At 45.0% G+C, this 17,936-nt stretch overlaps 1 protein-coding gene across 52 annotated transcripts in view, besides 1 other annotated feature; it reads right to left on the reverse strand.

Moving 5' to 3' along the window:
* Positions 1–17,936, reverse strand: part of NT5C2 (5'-nucleotidase, cytosolic II) — a 105,256-nt gene that overhangs the window by 38,446 nt on the left and 48,874 nt on the right. For 42 of the 52 annotated variants that reach the window (XM_047424854.1, XM_047424852.1, XM_047424856.1 and 39 more), the window contains one exon: positions 12,944–13,017. The exons of 6 other annotated variants lie outside the window; for them this stretch is intronic. In XM_047424854.1, the coding sequence (XP_047280810.1) occupies positions 12,944–13,017 (74 nt within the window). Of the gene's footprint in view, positions 1–9,786; positions 9,911–12,943; positions 13,018–17,936 lie in introns of those variants that run through there. 4 more of the 52 variants (XM_017015947.3, NM_001351175.2, XM_047424858.1 and 1 more) reach the window with 4 other exon arrangements.
* Positions 8,916–9,065: an enhancer, noted in NCBI's record as "active region_3953". NCBI's record gives its function as "activates an Ori minimal core promoter by ATAC-STARR-seq in GM12878 lymphoblastoid cells {active_cell/tissue: GM12878}" and the evidence as "EXISTENCE:reporter gene assay evidence [ECO:0000049][PMID:35858748]".

Consider the following 17,936-nt stretch of genomic DNA (forward strand, 5'->3'; position numbering starts at 1 on the left):
AATACAAAAATTAACAGGGCGCGGTGGTGCATGCCTGTAGTCCCAGCTACTCAGGAGGCTGAGGCAGAAGAATCGCTTGAACCTGGAAGGCGGAGGTTGCAGTGAGCAGAGATCATGCCACTGCACTGCAGCCTGGGTGACAGAGCGAGACTCCGTCTAAAAAACTAAAAAACAAACAAAAAAACATAGTCCACTCTTGGCCAGTGGTAAAGCTAACACATATGATTCAGTACTATCTAGATTCTAAACATGACTTTCATATATAAACTCATCTGTACTCGACAGACAAACTACAGCTGACTTGAATAATGCGGGTTTGAACTGCACAGGTCCACTTATATGCGGATTTTTTATTTTTATTTTTTTGGAGACAAGGTCTTGATGTATCACCCAGGAGGGAGTGCAGTGGCATGACCACAGCTCACTGAAACCTCAAACTCCTGGGCTCAAGTGATCCTCCCATCTCAGTCTCCCAAGTAGCTGGAACTACACATACCATCATGTCTGGGTAATTTCTGAGAAGTTTTTATAGAGACAGGGTCTCATTAGGTTCCCCAGGCTGGTCTCAAACTCCTGGCTTCAAGCAATCCACCTGCCTCAGCCAGTGGGGAGAGTTGAGGTTTTCGATTGCATGGGAGCCAGTGCCTTTAGCTGCTGTATTATTCAAGGGTTAACTGTAGTTAAAGCATAATTAATGTACATAATCTCATTAGATAAATAAAGTGTTAATCTACAACAATACAGACATAAGGAGCTAAATACAAATACTGGCATTCTATGGGTAGTAGATTCAGGATTAATACTGATTTAGGTTCAAGACAACCAGGCAAAATTACTTTTGTCAATAAACAAGATTTTTGCATATTTTGTTCTGTTCTATATACAAATGTTAGTCTTACATAGAAATCCTGCAAATAAACCGATACACAGCTGGCTTCAATTATGGGGATAATTGGTGATAAAGGAATCTTCTCTGAAAAATATTTGTGGCATTAGGCTGGCATTTAGATGAGATGAAGATAATGAAGCTCCCATCAGAATGGATTATGTTACTGAACACTATGTGACACACTTCATTGGGGAAATAAATGATTACCAAATGATTACCAAACTGTAAGCAAAATAAGAAACATTTTAATACAAGAAAGGCCATCAATTTCTCTTTTAACAAACTACTCTCAACTCTCAACAAACTCCCAACAACCAACTCTCCCACAGTACCCAGTAACACCTTTAGCAAAATCCGTATCATTAACTTTTGAAAAATTAGAAGTTTAGAGAGACGGGGTTTCACTGTGTTGGCCAGGATGGTCTCGATCTCCTGACCTTGTGATCCGCCCGCCTCGGCCTCCCAAGGTGCTGGGATTACAGGCGTGAGCCACCGCGCCCGGCCTACACCTGGCTAATTTTTATATTTTTTGGTAGAGATGGGGTTTTGCCAGGCTGGTCTGGAACTCCTGACCTCAGGTTATCCTCCCGCCTCAGCCTCCCAAAGTGCTGGGATTACAGGAGTGAACCACTGTACCCATACCCACCCCCTGCAAAAACAAACAAACAAAAACTGTATTTAAAATGATCCGGTCTCTCCCTCTCCCTCTCCCTCTCCCTCTCCCTCTCCCTCTCCCTCTGTCTCCCTCTCCCCACGGTCTCCCTCTCATGCGGAGCCGAAGCTGGACTGTACTGCTGCCATCTCGGCTCACTGCAACCTCCCTGCCTGATTCTCCTGCCTCAGCCTGCCGAGTGCCTGCCATTGCAGGCACGCGCCGCCACGCCTGACTGGTTTTGGTGGAGACGGGGTTTCGCTGTGTTGGCCGGGCCGGTCTCCAGCCCCTAACCGCGAGTGATCCCGCCAACCTCGGCCTCCCGAGGTGCCGGGATTGCAGACGGAGTCTCCTTCACTCAGTGCTCAATGGTGCCCAGGCTGGAGTGCAGTGGCGTGATCTCGGCTCACTACAACCTACACCTCCCAGCCGCCTGCCTTGGCCTCCCAAAGTGCCGAGATTGCAGCCTCTGCCCGGCCACCACCCCGTCTGGGAAGTGAGGAGTGTCTCTGCCTGGCCGCCCATCGTCTGGGATGTGAGGAGCCCCTCTGCCTGGCTGCCCAGTCTGGAAAGTGAGGAGCGTCTCCGCCCGGCCGCCATCCCATCTAGGAAGTGAGGAGCGCCTCTTCCCAGCCGCCATCACATCTAGGAAGTGAGGAGCGTCTCTGCCCGGCCGCCCATCGTCTGAGATGTGGGGAGCGCCTCTGCCCCGCCGCCCCATCTGGGATGTGAGGAGCGCCTCTGCCCGGCCGAGACCCCGTCTGGGAGGTGAGGAGCGTCTCTGCCCGGCCGCCCCGTCTGAGAAGTGAGGAGACCCTCTGCCTGGCAACCACCCCGTCTGAGAAGTGAGGAGCCCCTCCGCCCGGCAGCTGCCCCGTCTGAGAAGTGAGGAGCCTCTCCGCCCGGCAGCCACCCCATCTGGGAAGTGAGGAGCATCTCCGCCCGGCAGCCACCCCGTCCGGGAGGGAGGTAGGGGGGGGTCAACCCCCCGCCCGGCCAGCCGCCCCATCTGGGAGGGAGGTGGGGGGTCAGCCCCCCCGACCGGCCAGCCGTGCCATCCGGGAGGGAGGTGGGGGGGTCAGCCCCCCACCTGGCCAGCCGTGCCGTCCGGGAGGGAGGTGGGGGGTCAGCCCCCCGCCCGGCCAGCCGCCCCGTCCGGGAGGTGAGGGGTGCCTCTGCCCGGCCGCCCCTACTGGGAAGTGAGGAGCCCCTCAGCCTGGCCAGCCACCCCGTCCGGGAGGGAGATGGGGGGGTCAGCCCCCCACCCGGCCAGCCGCCCCGTCCGGGAGGGAGGTGGGGGGGTCAGCCCCCCGCCCGGCCAGCCGCCCCGTCCGGGAGGGAGGTGGGGGGGTCAGCTCTCCGCCCGGCCAGCCGCCCCGTCTGGGAGGTGAGGGGCGCCTCTGCCCGGCCGCCCCTACTGGGAAGTGAGGAGCCCCTCAGCCCGGCCAGCCACCCCGTCCGGGAGGGAGATGGGGGGGTCAGCCCCCCCACCCGGCCAGCCGCCCCGTCCGGGAGGGAGGTGGGGGGGTCAGCCCCCCGCCCGGCCAGCCGCCCCGTCCGGGAGGGAGGTGGGGGTGTCAGCCCCCCGCCCGGCCAGCCGCCCCGTCCGGGAGGGAGGTGGGGGGGGGTCAGCCCCCCCGCCCGGCCAGCCGCCCTGTCCGGGAGGTGAGGGGCGCCTCTGCCCGGCCGCCCCTACTGGGAAGTGAGGAGCCCCTCTGCCCGGCCAGCCGCCCCGTCCGGGAGGGAGGTGGGGGTGTCAGCCCCCCGCCCGGCCAGCCGCCCCGTCCGGGAGGTGAGGGGCGCCTCTGCCCGGCCGCCCCTACTGGGAAGTGAGGAGCCCCTCTGCCCGGCCAGCCGCCCTGTCCGGGAGGGAGGTGGGGGTGTCAGCCCCCCGCCCGGCCAGCCGCCCCGTCCGGGAGGGAGGTGGGGGGGGTCAGCCCCCCCGCCCGGCCAGCCGCCCTGTCCGGGAGGTGAGGGGCGCCTCTGCCCGGCCGCCCCTACTGGGAAGTGAGGAGCCCCTCTGCCCGGCCACCACCCTGTCTGGGAGGTGTGCCCAACAGCTCATTGAGAACGGGCCAGGATGACAATGGCGGCTTTGTGGAATAGAAAGGCAGGAAAGGTGGGGAAAAGATTGAGAAATCGGATGGTTACCGTGTCTGTGTAGAAAGAAGTAGACATGGGAGACTTTTCATTTTGTTCTGCACTAAGAAAAATTCCTCTGCCTTGGGATCCTGTTGATCTGTGACCTTACCCCCAACCCTGTGCTCTCTGAAACATGCGCTGTGTCCACTCAGGGTTAAATGGATTAAGGGCGGTGCAAGATGTGCTTTGTTAAACAGATGCTTGAAGGCAGCATGCTCGTTAAGAGTCATCACAAATCCCTAATCTCAAGTAATCAGGGACACAAACACTGCGGAAGGCCGCAGGGTCCTCTGCCTAGGAAAACCAGAGACCTTTGTTCACTTGTTTATCTGCTGACCTTCCCTCCACTATTGTCCCATGACCCTGCCAAATCCCCCTCTGTGAGAAACACCCAAGAATTATCAATAAAAAAATAAATTTAAAAAAAAAATAAAAATTAAAAAAAAAAAAAAGAAAAATTAGAAGTTTACAAGTTTAGAATTATTATATATTCAGCTTAACATTCCTACAGTCCACATATATATTTTTGCTTCAGTTACCCTCTTCCTCATTCATTAGTGACATCAAAGTTTTAAATAATTATTTACCACTAATTCTATCAACTCCAGCATTTAACATAAAAAACAGGATTCTCAAAACATCATTATTCAAAGTAAATTTTCTTATCTATTAATAGGAACCATTAAAAAGCTGAAAAATCAAAAAACCCCTCTCCCCAAAGAAGGTCTTCTGTAGCCATCTTCAGGAAGACCAAAAACAGAGTTTCCTTATGAAAATATCTCAATTTGCCAAGACTAAATCCCAACCCCCATCCTTTCCAAAAAGAAGTCATATGTATTTCCCACATTTGAAAACAAGAAAAAAGAACTTTGAGGAAACCCTATGTAGCTGTTTCCTCAGAACAAATTTAGGCAAATTTACAGTGTGATAAGGATCATGAGCCAACAACCACCTCTCAATGAACACACCATTCCAAAACACGACTTTGAGATGTTATGTTTGACATGTGATGTCCTATGCAGACACTTCAGAAGCATCAATCCTAGGATCACTGTATTCTAAGAATTTCACTACATTCTAACTCTGAAAACTAGTAATCTATCTATGCTGTAAGGTAATTATATATCACTCAAAATACTGTTTGCCAGAATAGCCAATTCATAGATTATGCTAGACAGATAGTTTTATAGTTCATTCTATGGTCTCAATATTTGTGTCCTTTAAAGTTCATATGCTGAAATATAATCATCAATGTGATGGTGTCAGGAAGTGATGCTTCTGGGAAGTGATTGGTGTCCTCTTTTATAAAGGCGGAGCACTTGTGAATGGGATTAGTGCCCTTATAAAAGAGGCCTAAGAGAGACCCCTTACTACTTCTACCACATAAGGACACAGCTAGAAGGTGCTTTCTATGAACCACAAAGCAGACAAACCCACGTTGTGGAACATTCTACAAAATACCTAGCCAGTACTCTTTAAAAGTCTCAAAGCAACGCCGGGTGCAGTGGCTCACACCTGTAGTCTCAGCACTTTGGGAGGCCAAGGCAGGTAGATCGCTTGAGCCCAGAAGTTCCAGACCAGTCTGAGTGACATGGTGAAACCCTGTCACTACTAAACAATGAAAAAGTTATCTGGGCATGGTGGCTTGCACCTGTATCTCCAGCTACTTGGGAAGCTGAAATGGGAGGATCACCTAAGTCTGGGAGGTTAAGGCTGCAATGAACCATGATTGCACCACTGCACTCCAGCCTGGGCAACAGAGTGAGACACTGTCTCAAAAGAGAAAAAAAAAATTATTTTTTAAAAAAGTATTGGCCAGGCATGGTGGCTCATGCCTGTAATCCCAGCACTTTGGGAGGCTGAGGCGGGTGGATCATCTGAAGTCAGGAGTTCGAGACCAGCCTGACCAACACGGTGAAACCCTATCTCTACTAAATACAAGAAATTAGCTGGGTGTGGTGATGCATGCCTGTAACCCCAGCTACTTGGGAGGCCGAGGCACAAGAATTGCTTGAACCTGGGAGGCGGAGGTTGCAGTGAGCCAAGACTGCACTATTGCACTCCAGCCTGGGTAACAAGAGCAAAACTTCATCTCGAAAAAAAAAAAAAAGTGTCATAGCAATGAAAGAGAAGACTTAGGAACAATCACAGATTAGAAGAGACTAAGGAGATAAGACAACTAAATGCAATATGCGATTCGGGACTGGATCCTAGAATAAAAAGATGACATTAGTGGAAAAACTGATAAAAAACAAAGTCCATAGTTCAACTAATAATACTGTACTGGTGTTAATTTCTCAGTTTTTATAATTGTACTATGGTCAAGCAAGATGTTACCATAGGAGAGGGGAAAGGAGAACTCTCTAAATTATTTTTGTAGCTCTTCTGTAGGTCTAAAGTAATTTCTTTTTTTTTTGAGACGGAATCTCACTCTGTCACCCAAGCTGGAGTGCACAGTGGCGCGATCTCGGCTCACTGTAAGCTCTGCATCCCAGGTTCACGCCATTCTCCTGCCTCAGCCTCCTGAGTAGCTGGGACTCGGTACAGGCGCCCGCCACCACGCCCGGCTAATTTTTGTATTTTTTTAGTAGAGACAGGGTTTCACTGTGTTAGCCAGGATGGTCTCGATCTCCTGACCTTGTGATCTGCCTGCCTCGGTCTCCCAAAGTGTTGGGATTATAGGCGTGAGCCACCGCGCCTGGCCGCGGTCTAAAGTAATTAAAAAAAAAAATTATGTCAAGAGTTAAAAAAAGAATGAACTACTTACTGGTAGACACAACAATGTGAATGAATCATAAAAACATGCTGAGCAAAATAAGGCAGACAAAAAGGAGTACATACTATATGATATGCCTTGGCTATGTCCCCACCCAAATGTCATCTTGAATTTGCACGTGTTGTGGGAGGGACCCAGTGGGAAGTAATTGAATCACAGGGGTGTGTCTTTCCTCTGCTGTTCTCGTGATAGTGAATAACTCTCACAAGATCTGATGGTTTTAAAAAGGGGAATTTCCCTGCACAAGCTCTCTTCTCTTGTCTGCTGCCATATGAGACATGCCTTTTGCCTTTCACCTTCCACCATGATTGTGGAGCCACTCCAGCCACATGGAACTGTAAGTCCATTAAACTTTTTTTTTTTGAAATGGAGTTTTGCTCTTTTTGCCCAGGCCGGAGTGCAGTGGCACGATGTCAGCTCACCGCAATCTCCACCTCCCGGGTTCAAGTTATTCTCCTACCTCCCAAGTAGCTGGGATTACAGGCATGCACCACTGCACCCAGCTAATTTTGTATTTTTAGTAGAGATGGGGTCTCACCATGTTGGCCAGGCAGGTCTCGAACTCCTGACCTCAGGTGATCTGCCCACTTCAACCTCTCAAAGTGCTGGGATTACAGGTGTGAGCCACCACACCTGGCCTAAACCTCTTTCTTTTGTAAACTGCCCAGTCTCAGGTATGTCTTTATTAGCAGCATGAAAACAAACTAATATAGTAAATTGGTACCAGTAGAGTGGAGCACTGCTGAAAAGATATCCAAAAATGTGGAAGCAACTTTGGAACTGGGTAACAGACAAATGTTAGAACAATTTGGAGGGCTCAGAAGAAGAGAGAAAAATGTGGGAAAGTTTAGAACTTCCTAGAGACTTGTTGAATGGCTTTGACAAAAATATTGATAGTGACATGGGCAACAAATTCTAGGCTGAGGTGGTCTCAGATGGAAATGAGGAACTTATTGGGAGCTGGAGCAAAGCTGAGTCTTTATATATTTTAGCAAAGAGACTGGTGGCATTTTGCCCCTACCCTAGAGATTTGTGGAACTTTGAACTTGAGAGAGATGATTTAGGGTATCTGATGGAAGAAATTTCTAAGCAGCAAAGCATTCAAGAGATGACTTGGATGCTGTTAAAGTCATTCAGTTTTATAAGGGAAGCAGAGCATAAAAGTTCCGAAAATTTGCAGCCTCACAATGCAATAGAAAAGAAAACTCATCTCTGAGAAGAAATTCAAGCCCTGTACAGAAATTTGCATAAGTAACAAAGAGCCTAATGCTAATCACCGAGACAATGGGGAAAATGTCTCCAGGGCATGTCAGAAGTCTTCATGGTAGCCCCTTCCACCACAGGCCAGGAGGCCTCAGAGGAAAAAGTGGTTTCATGGGCCAGGCCCAGGCTCCCCATGCTGTGTGCAGTCTGGCGACTTAGTGCCGAGTCCCAGCCACTCCTGCCATGGCTGAAAGGGGCCAATATAGAGCTCGGGCTGTGGCTTCAGAGGGTGCAAGCCTCAAGCCTTGGCACCTTCCATGTGGTGTTGAGCCTGCAAGTGCACAGAAGTCAAAAATTGGGGTTTAGGAACCTCCACCTATATTTCAGAGGATGTATGGAAATGCCTGGATGTCCAGGCAGAAGTTTGCTGCCAGGGTGGGGCTCTCATGGAAAACCTCTGCTAAGGCAGTGCAGAAGGGAAATGTGGGGTCAGAGCCCCCACACAGAGTCCCTACTAGGGCACTGCCTATTGGAGCTGTGAGAAGAGGATCACCGTCCTCCAGACCCCAGAATAATAGATCCACTGACAGCTTGCACCGTGCACCTGGAAAAGCCACAGACACCCAACACCAGCCTGTGAAAGCAGCTGGGAGGGAAGCTGTACCCTGCAAAGCCACAGAAGTGGAGCTGCCCAAAACCATGGGAATCCACCTCTTGCATCAGCAAGACCTGGATGTGAGACACAGGGTCAAAATATATCATTTTGGAGCTTTAAGATTTGACTGCCCCACTGGATTTCAAACTTGCATGGGGCCTGTAGCCCCTTTGTTTTGGCCAATTTCTCCCATTTGGAATGGCTGTATTTACTCAATGCCTGTATCCCCATTGTATGTAAGAAGTAACTAACTTGCTTTTGATTTTACAGGTTCATAGGCAGAAGGGACTTGCCTTGTTTCAGATGAGATATTGGACTGTGAACTTTTTAGTTAATGTTGAAATGAGTTAAGACTTTGGGGGACTGTTGGGAAGGCATGATTGGTTTTGAAATGTGAGGACAAGAGATTTAGAAGGGCCAGGGGCAGAATGATATGGTTTGGCTGTGTCCCCACCCAAATCTCATCTTCAATTCCCACATGGTGTAGGAGGGATCCAGTGGGAGGTAATTGAATCATGGGAGTGGGTCTTTCCCTTGCTGTTCCTGTAATAGTGAATAAGTCTCATGAGATCTGATGGTTTTAAAAAGGGGAATTTCCCTGCACAATCTCTCTTCTCCTGTCTGCTGCCATGTGAGACATGCCTTTCACCTTCTGCCATGATGCTGGGGATTCCCCAGCCAGGTGGAAATATAAGTCCATTAAACTTCTTTCTGGTTGGGCTCGGTGGCTCACGCTTGTAATCCCAGCACTTTGGGAGGCCGAGGCAGGCAGATCACCTGAGGTCAGGAGTTCAAGACCAGCCTGGCCAACATAATGAAACCCCCACTGCCCCCCACATCTCTACTAAAAATACAAAAATTAGCCGGGCATAGTGGCAGGCACCTGTAATCCCAGCTACTCAGGAGGCTGAGGCAGGAGAATCGATTGAACCCAGGAGGCGGAGGTTGCAATGAGCTGAGATCGCACCACTGCACTCCAGGCTGAGTGACACAGCAAGATTCCATCTCAAAACAGAACAAAATGGCTGGGCGTGGTGGCTCATGCCTGTAATCCCAGCACTTTGGGAGGCCGAGGCAGGTGGATCACCTGAGGTCAGGGGTTCGAGACTGGCCTGGGTAACCTGGTGAAACCCCATCTCTATTAAAAATACAAAAAACTTAGCTGGGTGTGGTGGTGGGCACCTGTAATCCCAGCTACTCAGGAGGCTGAGGCAGGAGAATCTCTTGAACCTGGGAGGCACAGGTTGCAGTGAGCCAGGATTGCACCATTGCACTCCAGCCTGGGAGACAGAGCGAGACTCTGCCTCCAAAAAAAAAACCCTCTTTCTTTTGTAAATTGCCCAATCTCAGGTATGTCTATCAGCAGCATGAAAACAGACTAATACACCATATGTTTCTATTCATATGAAAATCTCGATAAACTGTCATTATCCAAAATGATCATTTTAACATTATATGCCTATACATACATGCATGCTTAGGTTTGAATCTTGGTTCAGGTATATCATAACTAAATGTCCTTGGACAAAGTGCTTGATGTCTCAGAGTCATATGTAAAATGGAGATGATAGTAGTAACTGCTTCACAGGGTTTCTGTAAATATTAAATAACAGATGTGAATGACAGAATCCATGTGTTAAATGAGATAATCTATGTAATAAAGCACTTGGAACGGGTCCTGGCATATAATAAGTACTTAATAAATGTTACCACTTACTGTTAAATATACACAAAGTATGTTTGTGTGTAGACTAGGAGAAAGCATTAAAATACGAAGTGGCATTGCAAAAAACAAAAAGAAGAAATCATAAGGTGCATTAAAGTTTAGAGACAGATTCAGTTAATTATTTTTTTTTTTTTTTTGAGACACGGTCTCACTCTGTTGCCCAGGCTGGAGTGCATTGGCACCATCTCAGCTCACTGCAACCTCTGCCTCCCCAGTTCAAGCGGTTCTCCCACCTCAGCCTCCTGACCAGCTGAGACTACAGGCACGTACCACCACACCCAACTAATTTTTGTATTTTTTAGTAGAGATGGGGTTTCACCATGTTGGGCAGGCTGGTCTCGAACTCCTGTCAAGTAATCCACCCGCCTCAGTCTCCCAAAGTGCTGGGATTACAGGCATGAGCCACCGCGCCAGGCCAATTAAGTGACCTTTTCAATATACAAGATAGTTTATTTTTTCATTATTCTGTGGGAATATATAATCACCTCAGTTTTCAGTAACAAAATGTGCCAGGCACATTATAGATTCTCAATAAATACTTACTAAATTGAACTATTTCAATGTAAAGAGATTGTCTTAATAACCAAGGGAAAAATATTTGTCACTTTTTGACACCATTAACTTCTATTTCTGCTTTAGATAATCTCTTTCAGCTGCCAAATTAACTCACCATTCCTTTCCCTAGAGAGCTAGAATCTTGAAAGAAGAGACTATAGATTTTCTTCCCATTTGAACAGCAAGATCTACATTGGGAAAGTATACTGCTTTCCCCTGCTTTCTGACAAGTGCTCCTAAAAGTGTCTGTGACCAATTAGAAAAACATTAAATGCTGCAAAAATAAGGTTAAGGCAATAGAAAAACAAATAAATGACAAAGAGTATGGAGGGAAGAGAAAAATTCAAATCAGGAACTGTGTATATTTTTAATGTATTACTTGTTTGGTAAAAAAATCATGACCGTATCTATGTAGCAAGTACTCCCGTAATTTCGTGTTTGAACACGTATTATTCATTCACATTTGTAGCCTAAATCGAACATCAAACTGTGATTTGTCTAATTTGAGATGGACAAATTAATACTGTTATATTAATAGTTCCTGAGAAGTGTCTTTATACGTCTTAAGGTTTTTGTGTAAAGACAAAATTTTTTAACAGACAATTTCTGAAAGATTCTGTGTGTCACAGTTTCACATACACGTGCAAGCATATATGCTCAACTTGATCCCTCATCCCCACTACTTCTTAAATTAAATGCATTTCCACGAGATTGAAAATATTTTACTAAATTCTGGAAAGATGTTATAACTACTGATTAATACATTGACTCTTTCAAATATATCTTAGAGAAGGAAGGGAAAAACAGCACAGTGCTGGTGTTTAAGGGCTACAGGATAATGAAAAAAGCTAATGGCTCTAGTTTTTTGTTTGGTTGGTTGGTTAGTTGGTTTCAGAAGCTATATAATTTATTTAATAAAAAAGGATGTGGAAACTTAAACACAAAGTTTACACAAATAGGAGACCATGAGATGGTACCCAATGCCCCACATCCTCATAAGGACAAAACATGCTGATGAAAACATCTACACAGACTAAGGATTCTACAAGTTAAAAAAGAAGTTCATCTTTTCCATATTTGTCATGGAGTTTCAATGACTTCTTGCCCAGTCCTCCATCTAACTGCAGCTGACCATTGGGAAGACTGGCTAAATTCCTGCATATACCCTAGGTACAGAAAAGAAACCCCAGTACATCTCTGAGTTTTTTGGGGTTTGTTTGTTTTTTGTTAAGTTCTGGGATACATATGCAGAATGTGCAGGTTACATAGGTATACATGTACCATGGTGGTTTGCTGCACCTATAAACCCGTCATCTAGGTTTTAAGCCCTGCATGCGTTAGGTATTTGTCCTAATGCTCTCCCTCCCTTTGCCTCTCACCCCCCGACAAGCCTCAGTGTGTGATGTTCCCCCTCCCTGTGTTCATGTGTTCTCAATGTTCAACTCCCACTTATGAGTGAGAACATGCAGTGTTTGCTTTTTGGTTCCTGTGTTAGTCTGCTGAGAATGATGGCTTCTAGCTTCATTCATGTCCCTGCAAAAGGCACAAACTCATTCCTTTATGTGGCTGCAGCTCTAGTTTTTAAAAAGCCTTATACATACTACGTGTGCAATCATTTCAATGGAAAATGAACACATTTCCCATCTGTGTTAAGAATAACATACTGTCCGGGTGCAGTGGCTCACGCCTGTAAACCCAGCACTTTGGAAGGCCAAGTGGGGAGATCATCTGAGGTCAGGAGTTCGAGATCAGCCTGGCCAACATGGTGAAACCCCATCTCTACTAAAAATACAAAAATTAGCCGGGTGTGGTGGTGCATGCCTGTAATCCCAGCTACCTGGGAGGCTGAGGCAGGAGAATCGCTTGAACCCAGGAGGTGGAAGTTGCAGTGAGCCAAGATCGCGCCATTGCACTCCAGCCTGGAGGACAAGAGCGAAACTCCGTCTCAAAAAAAAAAAAACTAAAATTTTTAACTGATACAAGTTTATCTGTGGCAGTGCAAGAGACACAAAATCTCATACCTAAAGAATGGCTAAGAGTAAAAGTCAAAAATGCCCAAATATACCTATCAATATATGATTTTACCATATTATTTCTTACCAGGGTCTCTAAAATAGTAAAATTTAGTACTTTTTCTATCTATGTGTACAAACTCATGAGCCACATCTCAAGGATATCTGATAATTTCAATATTCACAAATCTTACTGGAAGCAACCTGATAATAAAAGCTTCTGGCAGCCAAATACATGATTAAGTCAGCAAATGTCAATTGAATTGCCTACTGTGAACCCACTGTGTTATACCCAAAGCAGCAGTTCTTAAGCAATCAGAAATTGCTACTCACCAGCAAGGGTATAATCCATATCAAAACCAAAACACTTTATCTTTTCCATTGCTAAACTTCGGTTCACAAACACCCTATAGAAAATAATAAAAAATAATATCTCAACACTGGAAAATAAATTCTCAAGTTTAATAAAGTTATTTGGCTATTTTTCTAGGTTTTCTCATTTATTTTTCCAATTGATTTTTTAAACTTTTAAAATTATATATTAAGATGTATAACACGACATGCTGTTTGATATACTTATCTTGATACACATATACACAGTGAAATGATTAATACAGTCAAACAAATTAACATACCCATTATCCCATACAGTTACCTTGTTTTCTTTCTTCTTGTTTATTGTGGTACAAGTACTTAAAATCTATTGTCTTGGCAAATTAACAGTACATAATACAATATTATTAAATATAGCCCTCATGCTATACATTAGATCTCTTAGACTTATTCATCCAACATAACTGCAACTTTGTACCCTTTGATCTACATCTTTCCATCCTTCCCCAACACTGTTTTGTTTTTGTTTTTTGAGGCAGAGTCACTCTGTCACCCAGGCTGGAGTGCAGTGGTGAAATCATGACTCACTGCAGCCTCAGCCTCCTAGGCTCAGGAGATCCTCCTTACCTCAGCCTCCTGAGTAGCAGGAACTACAGGCACACGTCAGCAAGCCCGGATAATTTTTTATTTTTTGTAGAGACAGAGGCTCACCTATGTTGCTCTGGCTCATCTTGAACTCCTGGGCTCAAGCAACCCTCCTATCTCGGCCTCTCAAAGTCCTGGGATTACAGGCATGATCCACCGCGCCTGGCCTCCAATCACTGCTTTGCTCTTTGTTTCTATGGTTTCCTTTTTTGATTGTTTTTTAGATTCCACATGTGAAATCATGCAGTATTCTTTGGTGTGTCTGGCTTATTTCACTTAGCATAATGTCTTCTACGTTCATCCATGGTGTTGCAAACGGTAGAATCTCCTTTTTTAAGGCTGAATATTCCATTGTGTGTATATATACCACAATTTCTTTATCCATTCATTCAGCCCATCAACAGATATCTTTTTTCCATCTCCTAGCTATTCTAAATAATGTTGCAATGAACATGGGAGTGCAGGTATCTTCACAAAGTGGTGATTTTACTTCCTTTGGGCATACAACTAGAAGAACTGCTGGGTCATATGGCAGCTGTATTTTCTTTAGGAAGCTCTACAGCATTTTCCACGGTGGCTGCATCAATTTACATTGCCACCAACAGTGTACAAGTGTTCCCTTTTCATGCATCATTGCCAACATTTATTTCTTATCTTTTTGATAAAAGGCATTCTAATAGGTATGAGATGATATCTCATTGTGGTTTTGATTTGCACTTCCCCTGATGATTAATGATGTTAAGCTCCTTTTCAAATACCTGTTAGCCATTTGCATGTCTGCTTTGGAGAAATGTCTATGCAGGTCCTTTGCCCATTTTTGGGTCATTTCTTTTTTCGCTATTGTTTGAGGTCCTCATATATTTTAGATGTTAATCCCTTAACAGATACATGGTTCGCAAACAGTTTCTCCCAATCCATAGGCTGCCTTTTTGTTTCTCCTTTGCTGCGCAGAAGCTTTTTAGTTTGAGGTAGTCCCACTTGTTTTTGCTTTTGCTGCCTGTGCTTTTGGTGTCCTATCCAAAAAAATCACTGCCGAGACCAAGGTCAAGAAGCTTTTCCTTTGTTTTCTTTTAGATCTTCTCATTTAAATACCAATATTAAAATCCATAATAAAAATTATTCAAGGTTGGGAGCAGTGGCTCACACCTGTAATCCCAGCATTTTGAGAGGCCGAGGCAGGCAGATGGCTTTAGCTCAAGAGTTCTAGACCAGCCTAGGTTAACATGGTGAGAACCCAACTCTACAAAAAATACAAAAATCAGCTGGGGATGGTGGTGTGCACCTGTGGTCCCAGCTACTTGGGAGGCTGAGGTAGGAGGATTGCTTGAGTCTACGAGATCAAGGCTGTAGTGAGCCAAGATCACACCACTGCACTTCAGCCTGGGCAGCAGAGTGAGACCCTGTTCCCAAAAAAATAACAAATAAATTAAAAATTGAAAAATATTATCCAAGTCTTTCTTATACAGTAAATGAAATCAGATATTATACAAAAATATACAGATTTGTGTATTGTGTCCTGGCATTAAAAATGCCATGTATTCAAGATTTCAGGGAAGAGGCTCTCCTTTCCAAAGTCTGACCCCATAAAATAAGATTACTTTTGGGATTTTATAACTCATTCACTTATTAATTTATAATTTATTTAATAAACAAGTCATTTAAAGCCCACTGAAGATAAAAATATAGACTAATTAAATAAATAGCTACTGTCTATTACACCCAGATACTGTGATTGAACAAAAGACTGTACCAGCCCTCATGAAACTTATATTGTAATTTACTCTGTTTATCCTTGAGGAACTCAGCCTACTAGGAAGGAGACCTTTAAATAATTTCAGCAATTCAGTAAGTACTATAAAATAACATGGAGGAGAGAGTACCAGTTGTTTAGAGAGGTCAGGAAGAAATGTTTGAACTGAATCTTAATCAATCAGTAGTTTTCCATTAGGAAAATGCAAGAAAGGCAACGCAGGCAAAATAACCAAGCAAAGAAAAGGTTTACAGTAAACTACAAAGCATTTATTGTGGCTGGAGTTGAGAAGCTTTCTTTGGTTTTGCTTCTGTTTGTTTTCACAGAAAGAGGTTTTCCAGGGGGCAAGGATGGGGGAAGGAGCAATAAAAGCTATGAAAGGTTAGTAGGGGTCAAAATCCTGAAGATTTTGTAAGCCACATTAGGGAATTTGGACTTTATCCCGCATTTAAGACCAAAATATCAGAGTTTAAGGAAATGAAATAATCAGAAAGATCACTATGAAGACATAGGAAAAACTGAACATATAATAGTATGGTAGATCATCAGCATGATGGTCTTTCAGGGTAAGTTTTAATCATCTTTAAAAATAAAGGCCAGGTGTAGTAGCTCACGCCTGTAATCCCAGTACTTTACAAGGCAGGCAGATCGCTTGAGCACAGGAGTTCGAAACCAGCCTAGGCAACATGGCAAAACCCCGTCTCCACAAAAAATACAAAAAAAAGCTGGGTGTGGTGGCACATGCCTGTAGTCCCAGTTACTCGGGAGGCTGAAGTGGGATCTCCTGAGCCTGAGAGGCAGAAGTTGCAATGAGCCAAGATTGTACCACTGCATTCCAGCATGGGTGACAGAGTAAGACCCTGTTTCAAAAAGAAAAAAAAGAAAGAAGAAAAGAAAGGAAGGGCCAGGCACGGTGGCTCACGCCTGTAATTCCAACACTTTGGGAGGCTGAGGCGGGTGGATCACGAGGTCAGGAGTTCAAGACCAGCCTGGCCAACATGGTGAAACCCTGTCTCTACTAAAAATACAAAAATTAGCTGAGCATGGTGGCGTGTTCCTGTAATCCCAGCTACTCAGGAGGCTGAGGTAGGAGAACTGCTTGAGCCTAGACCCGGGAGGCAGAGGTTGCCGTGAGCCAAGATCACACCACTGCACTCCAGCCTGGGCTACAAAGCAAGATTCCATCAAAAAAAAAAAAAAAAAGAAGAATAGAAAAGAGAAAAGAAAAGAGGAAAGGGAACGGAAAGGGAAAAGACAGAAAATAAGGTTATCCTTTCCACTTGATCCTCAGCTTGGTAGCCAAAGTTAAAACTGCATGGCTTCTCCTCTTATTACCAAACCTTTTCTTTGTCTTCATTTCATAAGTAACTGTAGGAAATTAGAATGATATAGATCAGTGGATCTCAAAACTGCAGTGTACATCAAAATCACAATCACCTGAGTAACTTGTTAAAAATAAAAAAGCCTGGGCTGGGCTCCCCCATCAGTGATCTAGGTCAATGGTCTCCAAAGAAGAGTAACTGCATCAAGGGATGCAAAAAGCCTCCACTGGGATACAGAAAGAAAATATCAGATCTTCTATTGATATTTACCTCACCATTTAAAAATGCCTAATTTATATATTTATATATGTTTCTTATTTATTTTCAAGACAGAGTCTTACTCTGTTGCCCAGGCTGGAGTACAGTGGTGTGATAATGGCTCACTGCAGCCTCAACCTCCCAGGCTCATGTTATCCTCCTACCTCAGCCTCAGCCTCCCAAGTAGCTGGGACCACAGGTACGCACCACCATGTCCAGCTATTTTTTTTTTTTTTTTTTTTTTTTTTTTTTGTAGAGATGGCCTTGGAGACTTTTTTTAAAAAGGAGTTTGAGACCAGAAGTGGTGCCTCACACCTATAATCCCAGCACTTTGGGAGGCCAAGGTGGGAGGACTGCTTCAGCCCAGGAGTCTGAGACCAGCCTGGGCAATATAGTGAGACCCTATCTCAACAAAAAATAAAAAATTAGCCACGTGTAGTGGCACATGCCTATAGTCTCAGCTACTCAAGAGGCTGAGGCAGGAAGATCACTTGAGCCCAAGAGGTCAAGGCTGCAGCGAACTGAGATCGTGCCACTGCATTCTAGCCTGGGCAACAGAGCAAGACCCTGTCTCAAACAAAGAAACAAAAAACACCCTCCAACCTCCAGCCCCCAAACATATCACCTTCTAATATTTCATCAAATATCACCCTGTTATTACTGATAAAAGCATCTACTTTATTATATTTTCCCAGTTACATAAATCCTTTTGAAAGTACAACAGGGATAAAAGACAAAATAATGGTTGTAGCTCTAGAAACTAAATGTAACTACTGAAGGCTTTTCAAACAGATTCTTAATTCAGGCTAGAGAGCCAACTGGATCAAATCCTTGATCAGGCCCTAACAGCTGACATGCCTAAAATATTCTATGGGAATACAAGCAGGAATGGATTGGGGATGATTTTTTCCCTTGTGATACAATCCAGGAGAGAAGTATGCGGAACGACATAATAAAAGAAACAGCTTTTACTCTCATAGAAGAAAGATGCTAGCTAGCTTCAAGCACAGCTAACATT

Source organism: Homo sapiens, chromosome 10 (assembly GCF_000001405.40).
Source record: "Homo sapiens chromosome 10, GRCh38.p14 Primary Assembly".
In the NCBI taxonomy this organism is placed as follows: Eukaryota; Metazoa; Chordata; class Mammalia; order Primates; family Hominidae; genus Homo; species Homo sapiens.